Source organism: Homo sapiens, chromosome 3 (genome assembly GCF_000001405.40).
Source record: "Homo sapiens chromosome 3, GRCh38.p14 Primary Assembly".
NCBI classification, from domain to species: domain Eukaryota; kingdom Metazoa; phylum Chordata; class Mammalia; order Primates; family Hominidae; genus Homo; species Homo sapiens.
The window spans coordinates 35,200,432-35,214,935 of NC_000003.12; the positions used below are offsets into that span (position 1 = coordinate 35,200,432).

Genomic DNA, 14,504 nt, shown 5'->3' on the forward strand with positions numbered 1-14,504 from the left:
AAATAGAGGAAGGAAGAGAAAGAAAGAGGAAGACAAAGGAAGGTGGGAGGGGGGAAGATGTGGCTTTTAAAATATGAAATATGCATATATTTCCTATGTATATATGGGCTTCTTGTTTAATAAGTCAAATTAGACTCTGCTAAACTAATTCGACTTTTTCTGAGATCATCATTTTTATTATGGTACTAGTAAGAATCTTAAAATCTCATCTCTTTCTACAATTGATTACAAACACAGTGTACAGAACTTGTCAAGCCTTTTGGAGATCTGCTCTTGATTAATGACCTGATAGAATCTCTGGATGTAAAGATGAGGGTGTTATATTTTCATTCAATTTAGTCACAGCTTAAATAATTTTTGTTGTTAGCAATGCTTATGTTTCTAAAGCAAGATCTTGTGCCTCTCTTATTGTGTGTGGAAAGATTAGACTCAAATTCAGAGGACATTTTGTTGGCCTTAATATAAGGAATTGGGAAACATCAGATATGAATATTCACCTGGAGACACAGAATATTCTGTAAGCATGGTCTTTTTCTTTCCATTTTATAATAAAAATCAAACTGAAGAAATTCCTGGGCTTTTCCCTTTGACAGTCAACTTTCAAAGGTCTCTTAGTAAAATGTATTTCAGAAACAAATTCAGTGAAGTCAATTTTTGAACTTTCTTCCCACATTTGTGCTAACGAACAAGAAACAATCACAGCAATGAATTAATTACTCTAATAACATCTCTCATAATCACATTCTTTCAAGAACAAGGGTCTTTTTCCTTCTGGTATTGAAGAACAGCCAATCAAAATCCAGATATAATTATTCTAAAAACTCCTTGCTCTCCCTTTTAATATAATCATTTTAAATATCTAGGGAGAAAAACTAAGGAGACACAATCAGAGGAGGAATTAATTACTTGATTAACTTTGCTTTTACTTGGTTTCATTTATTCACAGTTCTGGAAGGGGCCCTCCAGAGGTCATTTTTCCATGTATCTGCCACCTGTCAGGGATGCTTCAAAACCATGCAGACAGATGGATAGCTTCCTAATGTTTTTGCTCCCTCATTTAGGGTTTAGTTTTTTTCTTTTCTTTTTTTTTTCCTTTCTTTCTTTCATTATTCCTTTTCCCGTGCCTTCTGGTCTGTAATTGCCTAGAAGAATTACACACACAAACACGCACACACACATTCAGGATTTCTCCAATTCCTTAAAGATAATACACTTTGTCTAAAACATACTTCATTAAATCTAGAACTTGTTTTTGGAAAAGTTATATATCTTCAAATATCCATTTACATTTTGAAGAGGTGAGCTTAAGTACTACAAGATGGATAATGATAGGATTCTGGAAACACTCCAGAGAGTAGAAAAAGGGGGAAAAAAGACATGTTGAGAATGATGCCTCATTTCTACTACTGGCCGTAAATTACATTTTGAACAACGACACTTATTATTATGTTTTTCTTTTTAGTTCGCTACATGTTTATAACATTTTAAACATTCCCTTTAAACATTTTAAAGAAATAAAAGTAAATTGTTGTTCAAAATAAAGGTAGTCATTTTTGTTTGTTTTGTTTTGTTATCTAGTGCAGTAAGTAACATTCTTTTGAAGAAAATTGCAGGATCAGTGAAAGAGGTTCTGTTTTTAGAAATATTTTGGGGAAAACTTCTCTTAACCTTGTCCCATAAAATGAATGACCATTGCAAACTAGCTCTATATCCATTTTCTTATATTTTCTAGGAGTCCATATTTTTATGAGTTAAAAACTGAGCAGATGTAAGTGGCAACCATTGGGTCAACATGTAGGGCCATGATTCTGATTTTGCAGTGTTTTGAGGCAGAGAACACGTAATAATTACCTGTCCAGTAATGCTATGTGGTCAGGAGCTTCTGTGGAACTAAATTCAAAGGATTATATATTATAGATGTCAATCTGGATACATGTTCAAATATGTGTAGTGGGCCGGGCATGGTGGCTCATGCCTGTAATCCCAACACTTTGGGCGGCCAACACTTTGGGAGCAGGCGGATCACCTGAGGTCAGGAGTTCAAGACCAGCATGACCAACATGGTGAAACCTTGTCTCTACTAAAAAATACAAAAATTAGCCAGGTGTGGTGATGGGCGCCTGTAATTCCAGCTACTCGGGAGCCTGAGGCAGGGAGAATTGCTTGAACCCAGGAGGTGGAAATTGCAGTGAGCTGAGATCAAACCACTGTATTCCAGCCTGGGCAACAGAGCAAGACTCCATCAAAAAAAAAAAAAAGGGAAGAAAAAAATGTGTAATGATCTCAGACATTGCCTTTATGTATCTTTTGCTCTTGTGTGTAGTTATCCTGGTGGATTAGTTATCAATACTAAAGTATCTTCGGAACTGCTTTTATTATGTTTGTTTCTCCATCTGACCTCTTCAAGAAGGATGTTCACATATTTGTACAGGTAACAAAACTAAAGTTGTATTCTGTCTTATTGTTTAAGGGGATTTGAAATCAGACCTGCCCCTAGGATACTGAAAACAGATATGTCAGCTTTTGCTATGAGGAGACAAAACACCACATAGTGGCTTAAAACAACCACCATTTTCTTTAGCTCAGCTTTGAGGGTTGGCTGAGTTACCCTTCTCATATATTTGTGGTCATTTGGTAGGTTGGCTTGTGGCTGGATGTTCTATCTAGAACAGCCTTATTTGCAAGTCTAATAGTTAGAATTCTGGTTTATTTATGTGGGCCTTAGCATGGATTGCTTCTCTCTCTTCCACAAGGTCTCCAATCTTCAAGCAGCCTAGCTCAAGCTTTTCTACTTCATATATATTGGGTTGAATAATATCCCCCACCCAAATTCTTGTCCACCCAGAAACTCAGTACATTGCAAATGCAATTAGTTAAAATAAGGTCATACTGCATTAGGACAGGCCATAACATCAATGACCAACATCCTTAAAAGAAAAGGAGAGGACAGACAGAGACAAATGGAAAGAAGAAGAGAATGAGAAGGTGGAGGTGGAGATTGGAGTGATGCAGCTACAGGGCAAAGAAAACCAAGAACTGCTGGGAGCCACCAGAAGCTAGGACAAAGCACAAAACAGATTTCCCTTCATAACACCTCAGAAGGAACTAACTTTGCTGATACTGTGATTTCAGATGTCCAGCCCCCAGAAGTGTGAAAGGATAAAAAAGTGTGGGTTGTTTTCATCAACTCAGTTCACGGCACTGAGTTATAGCAGCCCCAGGAAGCTAATACGTGGTGTTTTCAAGGTTTCAAAGAAAAAAAAATGAGAACAAGCCCAAGGTAAAAGAACTCATCAAGTTTTTGTTTGAGGCATGTTTCCTGATATTCCATAGCCCAAAGAAAGTCTCATGGTCAACCAAGTCAAAGAATGAACAATACAGTCTTCACCCCTTAATAGGAAGAGCTGTAAGCCATATTGAAAAGGGGCGTGGACACATAGGAGGAGAACATGTGACTCTTTTTGTTGCCGTCCACCTCTGCACCTTTAACATGTAGTCCCTATCCTATGATCCATGGGTAGCATATCCTAATATAAGGTTTAGGTATGTTTCTCTGGTGTATGTTCTTTCAAAAATGTCATAAAATACATTATTAGATCAACTGATGAAAAAAAAATCTGGTTGAATTGACTTTTGAGGCTCTTGAATTCACAGACCAGAAATACAGCTTGGTGCCAGGTAAAGAACTGAAATTTAGATTCCAGTTGGACTCTTTGTTGTGTGAATGATTACACCCAGAAATTTTCATAATTACTCTTTTAATGTAGAGACCTCTTAGAAGGTAGATTAGACCAAGAAAAGTTTCCTAAAGTCATATTTTTCTGGTATTTTGTTCTGGTATTTTATTTCTTCCTAAATAACTACTAGTTTCATGAAAAGGCATACGTAGTAAATGACAGGGCATCTTTGTTACTGCCAACTTCTTTTGGTGCACTGGTTCATTAAGAAAAAGTTAATTCTGTAGAATTTCTTATATACGCTTGTTCTAATGGTCTACTCCTCACTGAAGCTTAAACATCAAAGGATTTTGTTCTTCGGAAAACCCTATAAAAGACATGAATAGACAAACTACAAAATGAGAATGTAAATCATTATTAGACAAACATACTGTATCAATGTAAATTTATGAATGTGTCAATTGTACTGATGGTATGTAAGAAAACATTCCTATTCTTAGGAAATACTCATTGAAATATTAGGGGTAAAGAGTCATTATATATACAATGTATATTTTGTTCAACTATTTCAAATGTTTCAGAAAAATAATGAAGTAAACACATATACAGGATATGGGGTAAAATATTAACAATAGGTAAATATGAGCAAAAGGAAGGCAGGTGTTCTTTATACTATTTTTATTTTTGCAGAATGTATAACTAAGATTATTTCAAAATGTAAAAATTATCATTAAATATGTTTTCCTTTTTTAACAAAATCAAATGACAACCAAGTTATATCCATTTTAATTTCTTCATTTTTCCTCTCTGACATTACACAGTTGCTGTTTTGTTCCTGGGAAGGAGATGACGTTGCCTTCTGTGGAAAGGTTTTTATCAGGTCAGCTCCACTTTGGAAAGGTCAAGTTCTTATGCGTATTTTACTTGTGCGGAGGGTCTAAGTAGGCAGACAATCTGTCTGTTAGGCTACAGCAGATGTCCTAGCTATTAAGATTATCTACTACACAGTGCCCACACTCTCTCAAAGGCAGGCTAATGGGTGAGGAAAGCAGGTAAGTGAAATGTCAAGGAAAATGGCAGTCAAGGCTGCGAATCATATTCTAGTCTGCTTTGTAAACAGGGAGATGGATAGAAAGTAGAAGCATTATGTTCAGTGGCTCTCACTTAAACATGAAAAATAACTTCTGCTTTATTAATAAATGACATTAGATATATTCATACATCCCTTTTATCACAGCCAGCACAGTAATGCAGCCACAAGCTCAATGATGAATAAGAAAAACTGTCGATGTCTTAAGTACCTTTTATTCAGTTTGTCAAGGAGGCTCAACATGGTGGGGTTTAAAAATGAAATGGCTTTTTTTTTCGATCACTGCTTTGTAGAATATATGTTGCTGTCCATTAATAAATCATGTGATTTCCACAGCTTTCCATTTACTCACAGTTATTACAATTTGGACCATGTTAAAGCTTAAAAATCTAAATTGCTCACTAGTAATTATTAAAATTTGGTAAACTCGAAAGCTTCAAATCAAACTCAATTCAAAACTCATTTCCTCAGCATACTCTACATTGCTTCCCCATCCCCCATGCCCACTTCCACCGACACTGCCACCAATGCAAACCTGAGATGACAGGCTTACTGTGGAGTGACAGAGGCTTGGAAACCCATCCACCTTTTGCAATCCAGCTCTTCTGGAGAGCTGCACCTGGGTAGAGGGGAGGTATAAGTGAAATTTCTCCTTACTTTACTAGGTAAGGTTTTAATGTTTTTGTAGGCCATCTCTGTTGCTTTTGCAACACTGACTGACCTTTGTTGTCCTCCAAATGGCAGACCTGTAAGGCCTGCTTCTCTCATGGGATGTGTGCTTAAGTTACTACATTGTGTGGTTCCCCCACTCCATCTTTCCCTGATCCTATGTTTGGAGACCTAAATGGGGCCAGGTGCCTCAAGCTTCACCACCATTTGACCCATGGCAGACTCTCATATACTTCCCAAACTGCCCACTGCTTGTGTCAGTTTACTCTAATTCTCTTCTTATCCCCTCTGATAGACCCAGCAGTAGATTTATGTGTCTCTTGCCCAAGCAAGTGTCCAACTAAGCAGTGGAAAGCTAACCCTCTCCCCATCTTGAAACAACCTCTAGCTACTTTGAGTCTCCTTTCATTTTGTTTCAGAAGGGAGGAAAGCCTACTCTTTCCATCAACAAACCTTGAAAGATTTAAAATCCAAATCAAATATAACATGGTCATTTTCATTGGATTTCAGATACAACATAATTTTATTCTTCTGTACTCAGTCCAAAAGGGTCCTGAAAATTCCTCATGGGGATCCTAGAATTCTGCATTATCAGGCTATATAAAAAGGCACCTCACCACCCACTCCCATTCCTACCAGGGCGATGTCAAAGTAGGGATGAGTAGGGAGCTAAAACGTTCATTCTTGGTGAGCAATAGTAAATATGCCCCTGACTCTCCCACCCTCTTCATTTTTCCTCCCACAGCACTGCCATGTCAGAGGAGATGTCTGTCTCCACTGGGTGGTGACAAGTATTGAATTCTCCATTCCTTTCACCAATGGGTTAATGCCAAAGGAGTCCTAGTGGAGAGTTAGGACTTTCTCAGCCATTATGTGGTAACTGGGATATCCACCCCATAGTGTCACCTCCTGCTCTCATGTGGGGACCCAGACCTTCCAACCCTAATAGGTAGATGAGAGTGGATATCTGCTTGTTCTTAATCCAGGAGGAAAGAATCAAATCTTCCACTATTTAGTATGATAACAGCTATAATTTTTTTGTAGATATTCTTTACCAAGTTGTGGGAGTTTTTCCATATTCCTACACTACTGAGAGTTTTTATCCTGGTATTGGATTTTGTGAAATGCTTTTTCAAAATCATATAATTTTTATTCTTCAGCCTGTTAATGGTGGATTACATTGATTTTTAAATGTTGAACTAGACTAGCATACCTAGACTAAATCTACCGGGCATAATGTATAATTCTTTTTAACACACTGTTGGATTTTAATTACTCATGTTTTGGTGAGGAATTTTGCATTTATGTTCATGAAAGATACTGGTCTATAGTTTCCTTTCTTTCTTTTTTTTTTCTTTTTTAGGTGGAGTCTCTCTCTGTCACCCAGGCTGGAGTGCAGTGGCATGATCTCAGCTCACTGCAAGCTCCGCCTCCTGGGTTCACGCCATTGTCCTGCCTCAGCCTCCTGAGTAGCTGGGACTACAGGCACCCGCCACCACGCCTGGCTAATTTTTTGTATTTTTAGTAGAGATGGGGTTTCACTGTGTTAGCCAGGATGGTCTCTATCTCCTGACCTTGTGATCCACCTGCCTCGGCCTCCCAAAATGCTGGGATTACAGGCGTGAGCCACCACGCCAGGTCCTAGTTTCCTTCCTTGTAATGTCTCAGTATAGTTTTGGTACAAGGATGGTGCTGGCTTCAAAGAGTGAATTAGGATGTGTTCTCTCTTCCAATTACATTAAATGATCTAATATACTAATCAGAAGGAGATTGGAAGAATGTATTTAAAAATCATGATAAACATGATCTAACAAAATGACTACAAGAAACTCACTTAAAATAAAACAATATAGGTAAGTTTAAAGTAAAATAATGTACAAAGGTGCACCATTCAAACATTAAGCCAGAGAAAGCAACAGTGACCATCATATTATCAGATAAAGTAAAATCAACACACACAATATTAATAAAGGCAGAGCGAGTATTACATAAGAAACATCAATCCCCAAATATTTCACAGAAATCCTAAAAGAATATATACCAAAAAAGGGCCACAATTATTTGCATAAAAATGATAGAATTAAGAAAACAAAAAGGCAAATAAACAATCATAGGAGACTTCAACATCCATGTCTCAACAATTAATAGAAAAACTAGACTTGAGTTTAGCAAGAATGTAGAAGAACTCAACAACATCATTAATCAATAAGATCTGATTGACATATATAGAACATTTCATTTCAAATCAGCATAGTACACTTTTCATTAGTGCATACAGTGTACATGTAGCATGACACACCATATGCTGGGCTGTAAAAAATAAACCCTCAACATATTTAAAAGAATTAAAACATCTGAGAACAATGGAATCTGGAACTCAGTAACAGAAGTATATGAGGGAAATCTCCAAATGCTTGGAAACCAAATGACACACTTAATAATAAACAACATAATTAAGTAATCCATGAATCAAAGAGAAAGTTTCAGGGAAGAATCACATAGTACATTGAAGTGAATAAAACTACAAACTTATTAAAATATGTGGACCACAGCTCAGAAGGAAATTTATAGCACTAAATTCTCACATTAGAAGAGAATCAATATCTCAAATCAATAATTTAAGCTCCCACCTCAGTAAACTAAAAGAGGAGCAAAATAAAACCAAAGAATGCTTAAATAAGTAAATTAAAAATGTAAGATCAGAAATCAATGAGACAAACAACTGGTTCTATTAAAAAGACCAAAAAAAATTGAAACTGACCAAAAGAAAAGAGAGAAAGATAAGAGACACAAATTACTAATATCAGGAATGATCTGGAAGATACCATTACAGACACTGCAGTCATGATAAGGGTTATAAGGCACTATTACAACTAATTCTATACACACAAGTTTGACAACTTAGATAAATTGGACCTAATCTTCAAAAGCACATACTACCACCACTTATTTAAAATAGGTAAGTTGAATAGCCCTAAAATATTAAGAAAATTGAATTTGCAATGTAAACTCTCATAAAAAAGAAATCTCTAAGTCTGGATTGTTTCATTGGAGACTTCATCAAGTATTTAAAAAGTTAATGTCAGCACTACACAATCTCTTCTGGGAAACAGAAGAGAAGGAAAGACTTCCCAAATCATTTTATGATTTATCATTAATTTATTGTACTGACACCAAAACCAGACAGAGAAAATACAAACAAAACAAAACAACAAAATACAGTCTTTCTCATAAATACAAAAATTCTTAAGAAAATGTTAAGAAATATGTTTTAGCAATATATATGAAAGAATTATACACCATGACCAAGTGAGACTTAATAAATGTCTCCGAATAGTAGGAACAGACAGGAGCTTTCTCAACTCAATAAAGAACATGTACTGATGAACTATAGCTAATATTCTAAGGGTAAAAGACTGAATATTTCCCTCCAAAGATTACGAACAAAGAAAGAATGTCCACTTTCATCACTGCTGTTCGACATCATACTGGACGTCCTAGATGGAGCAATAAAACAAGAAAAGGAAAAAAGGAATATAGACCAGAAAGGAAAAAAAAGTTATATTTGCAGATGATATGAAAGTCTTCATAGAAAATCTCAAATAATCTCAAACAACCCTTCTAAAACTAATAATTGAACTCAGCAAGTTTGCACTACATAAGAACAATGTTCAAAATCAGTGGTATTTCTATATGCTTGCAATGAATGCATGGAAACTGAAATAACCATTTACAATAGCTCAAATAATGAAATATTTAGGTGTAAATCTACAAAAATATATAAAGGACTTGGATTTTGAAAATTAGCACTATATTATTAGACATAAATTGTATTTAGTTGTCCACATGTCTGTCCTTCACCGATTACCGTTCCTTAGCAGAAGCCATTTAAACATCTTTGTGTGGCAGTACTCATCATTCTTATTGTTGAAATGTTACAAATGTTTTGCAAAGAGACAAAGAAGTTGAAATAAATAGTGACAGGCATGTATTTAGAAGTTTGGAATGTAGAATTTAGTTTGGTAGTTAAACACCTTCTAATCACGAAGGAAACCGATTTTGACAGTAGATGCTAACACTGTCGTCCAACTCCTGTGTCATTGTGAAGGCTGGAATTCATCGTGATTGGAATCTCCAAATTGCCTTATAGCTTTCTCTATGACACTTCTACATTCTCTGCTAAACAGTCTTGAACTTTAGCTCTGCAAAAAGGAGTGGTATTGGGGGACTAATGTAAGAAGGTAAGAAAAAAAAAGTTTGGATATGTAGGAAGCTTGTGGGAGGGAAGGTAGTTGTTCAGATACAGAGCTGTGTCTCCTGACTCACTATTTGCCTTTTTACGAAAGGAGCTACCTCCTCATCCTAAGAACAAAGAGCAGTTGGCTAATTAGTGTCCTTAAATTCCCTCAAGGAAAGTTATTTCGATAGCTGTGACCTTTGTTTCAGTTGAAATTTTTGATCTCTTTCTCCTGTGACTTCAATTTTTGCTTTCAGTTATGATAACTTATATAATTTCACATTTTTAATTATACAGTTCTTAAAGGCAGAAGTGTGGCATTATACACCTCTATAGCCTTCACAGCACCACACAGCCACAGGCTTTCCTCATAGTAGGGGTCCAAAAATATTGGAGAAAAGAAATAATAAGTGTTTATTTATATTATTGCCTAGCAAAGCACTGTGTTACATTCTGGGATCACACCAGTGAATAAAGCAGGCATTTAAGTGTCAGAAGGCACACATCAAAACAATAATCACATATGCTAATGTAAACTCATAAAATGTTATAAATGGCATTAAGGGAGATAAATGATAAGTATAATATGGCTAGAGTTGGAGTGAGGATTATGGCCAGATTTAGAATAGGCATCTATGAAATGATATTTAAAATAGAATCTGGTCTGAGAACTTAGCCAGGTATAAGCCAAAGAAAAGAGCATTCTAGCAAGAAGGAACAACTTTAGTGAAAAGTAGACAGGAGCTTGAGGAACTGAAATAAACTAACAGAACTAAATTGGGAGTTTAATTTCTCTCTCTCACCTTAATCCTCCATTATTCCTCTATATAAGAAATGAGAAGGTGCTCATCCCCCAAGGAAATTAAGTAGTTCATCAGGAAGCAGCACCAGTGCAAAATATTAACATGTATCCCCTTGATTATCTAAAGAAATATTTCTCTCTGTTAAAAAAGAAGTCTTATTATTCCACAAAATTGGGGGAACTTAAATAAATATTGAGGTGACTTTGATGTAAAAATGGTTGAAATGTCTTTCTTATTCTAATTGTATTGTTGTCTTCAGAAGATAATCACTGACCATTACTGCCCTTAGCTGCAGCCTACACATTCTTTCATATGTTGTGAGGTTCATTTTTCTCATTTGGCAATTTTAAATCAAATGAATTCGAACACTTTTTAGTTTTCTGAGGTAGAAATATAGTTAACAAACTGCTCATATCAAATTTGTAGAAGACTAAAATATATATGTAAAGAGATTTGTTGTGACTGAATTGTATATGATTTAAAATTAGTTATGAATGGATTTAAAATAAATTGATTTTTTCACATCCTTGATATTGTCAAAATCTATTCTTTTTTTAAGCGACATTTTAAAAGGCTTTATCATTAAGAGAAATAACTAGTGAGACCCTAATCAACCTTAACACATACATAATAGCCATCCCTGCTATTATTATCAGCCATCAATGTTCCAAATAATTTGAAAACATAGAGAAGACACAGTTTTCTCACAGTGGGAGTCAAGCCAAGTAGAATAAATACCAGGTGAAAATTCTAGAGAATTTTAGGAGAGGTAATTTGTACATTCTTTCATTTCTTTTTGGTTTCTTTTTCAACTTGGGAAATTATCTAGACTAGCCTTTTGTATCTGCTTTTATAATAATTCTCAAATAAGGCCCATAGCTTAGTATCCTCATAGAAACAGCAGCTTCTATTAACCATCTGTTGTTCCTTTAATTATGGTTTCTGTGATAATTGTGAAAGAATAGAGATGAAAATTTGATAAATTGGGGAGCATTAGACCAGAAGCATTCATGTTTATTAGTCTGAAAAAAGCACTTCTATTAGACAACTTTCTATTCCACATTCAAAAATTCATCAGAAATTATATAAAAGAAAAATTGACCTGCCTTTGACACTGGGTCTTAATGTATGATTGTGATCAATATTTCTTAGATTTGGACTATGTTGAAGGAACCTCACACAAGCAGAATATGGTAAGTAGATGAGAGTTTTCTAAATAATAATTATAACTATTTGGGCCTCATAGTTAATTTCTACCATGCTCCGTGAAAAAGATATGCCGATGAATTTTCCCTCCTTGCTACAGTCAGAAGAAATTGAATTAGAGATAAGCCAGATAAATGTTTTTTTTTTCCAGAAAATCCCTGATGCCACCATAAACTTTCCATGTTTTCCTGGAAGTTTTAGAAAAGTACAACTGAACCCACACTTTAAAGATACCCCATTTCACTTGGCAAAAATAGAAAAAATTACTACCATTGTAATCAGGCCTCCTCAACACTCTCAGGCTGTGAATAAATCAGTCATGGATTTTGAGTTTCATTTCACATTTTCTTCTTCAAAAACAACTGTTTAGGCAATATATTATGGTGAAAAGATAATTGGATAAAAATATGTAATTCTGTATCCTGCTTGAAAAATTTAATGACTGTGAGATGCTGGGAAAGTTATTCTTGCTCTTTTAGTCTAGGTTTTCTCAACAATTAAAAACTATCAGTCAAGGCTTCAAAATAATCTGTGATTTTTCTTTTTACTTCTTTCAAAATTTTATTTTTGTCTTTGGTAGCTGAAGTTTCATTATGATGCGTCTTTTTGTGGTTTTCTTGCTGTTGGATTTTATTTTGAATTGAATGGCTTTATAAAATCTTGCCTTCATTGTTTTCATATGTTTTAAAAAATTCTTTGCCATTGCTTTTAAAATATCCCTTTGATCACATTTATTTCTTTTTTTCTGCTAGAAATCCATTTGGAGGTACCATTGGTTATGTCTCTGTCATCACTGTTTTTTATTCATATTTTTTGTTCCCCTGTATGTCATTATATGTACTATTTTTTTCTTTCAATATATAATAGCTTTATTGAAACATAATTTATATATCATATTACTTATCAATTTAAGGTATATAAATCGGTGGTTTTTAGTATATTCACAAAGTTTTTCAACCACAATTTTTGAATATTTTCATTGCCCCAAAAAGAAACCTCATAATCATTAGTAGTCACACCTCATTTCCTATAAATTGACCCCCAGCCATAGATTATTACTAACCTACTATCTGTCTCTATAGATTTTCATATTTTGACATGTAATAAAAATGGAATCATATAATACAAGACCCTTTGTGATTACTGTTTTCAGTTAGCGTGTTTTCAAGGTCTATTCATATTGTATCATGTCAGTACTTCATTACTTTTTATTGCCAAATAATATTTATTATATGGGTAGAACACATTTATTTATCCATTCATCAGCTGACGGGGCTTTGGATTGTTTCCACGTTTTTGACTATCATAAATAATGCCACTATGAATATTTGTTATGGACTGTCCCTCCAATGTTATTTGTGTTGGACACTATGAATATTTGTTATGGACTGTCCCACAATGTTATTTGTGTCCCTCCAATGCTCATATGTTGAAGCCCTAACTCATGTTCCTTAGAATGTTTTTCTGTTTGTAGATACGACCATTAAAGAGACAAGTTAAAATGGAGTGCTCAGGGTGGGTCCTAATCAAATATGGCTGGCATCCTTATAAGAGGATGTTAGGACACAGATCACATAGAAAGATTAATAATACCATGTGAAGACACCAGAAAAAGAACACTATCTACAAGCCAAGGAGAGAGACTTCAGAACAAACAACCTGTCTGACACCTTGATTTCTGGCTCCCAGCTTCCTGAAATGTGAGAAAATAAATTTCTATTGTTTAGGCTACTTTGTGGTATTTGTTACGGCAGCTCTAGACAAATACATTATTCACAAACAAGTTTTTGTGTGGAGGTATGTTTCATTTCCCTTAAGTATATACATAGGAGTGAAATTCTTGGTCATATGCTAACAGTATGCTTAAGCTTTTGAGCAATGGTCAGACTATTTTCTAACATGCCTGCACAGTTTAAATTGCCATCAGTAGAATAAGAGGATTCCAAGTTCTCCACATCCTTTTTTTTTTCCCCCTCTCTCTCTCTCGCTTTTTTTTTTTTGGTATAAATGTCTTAGCAAATATGAAGTGTCATATTGAAGAAGACCACATAACTCAAGATTATGAAGACTTACTTCTATGTTTTCTTCTACAATTTTTATGTTTTTAGCACTTACTTTTAAGTCTATGATTCATTGGGGGTTATTTTTTGTGTATAATGTGAGGAAAGAGTATATATTCCTGGTTTTGCACATGGATATCTAGTTCTCTCATCACAGTTTGTTGGAAAGACTATTCTTTCCCTCACTGAACTGTCTCCGGCTTTTTGAAAATTAATAGTTATATGAAAATTTATTTCTGGACTCTATTCCATTACTCTTTATGTCTATCCTTCTGCTAGTATCGAACAGTCTATACTACTGTAGCTTTGTAGTAATTCTGAAATACGGAGTGTGATCCAAATGTTGTCTTTTTTTTTTTTTTTTTTTTTTTGAGTATACTTTAGTGATTCTAGGTCCCTTGCAGTTCCATATTGTATTAGTTCATTTTCACACTGCTATGAGGAATACCTGAGACTGGGTAATTTGTAAAGGGAAGAGTTTTAATTAACTCACTGTTCTGCATGGCTAGGGAAGCCTCAGGAAACTTACAATCATGGTGGAAGATGAAGGGGAAGCAAGGCACATCTTACATGGTGGCAGGAGAAAGAGAGAGATGGGGAAGTGCCAGACACTTATCAAACAATCAGATCTCATGAGAACTCACTCACTATCACAAGAACAGCATGGGGGAAACTGCCCCATCATCAAATCACCTCCCACCAGCTCCCTCCCTCAAGGCCTAGAGATTACAATTCCAGATGAGATTTGAGTGGGGAGAGACA

At 35.2% G+C, this 14,504-nt stretch overlaps 1 long non-coding RNA gene across 1 annotated transcript in view; it reads right to left on the reverse strand.

The window, feature by feature from the left end:
• Positions 1–14,504, reverse strand: part of LOC101928135 (uncharacterized) — a 518,229-nt gene that overhangs the window by 324,637 nt on the left and 179,088 nt on the right. The window lies entirely within an intron of this gene.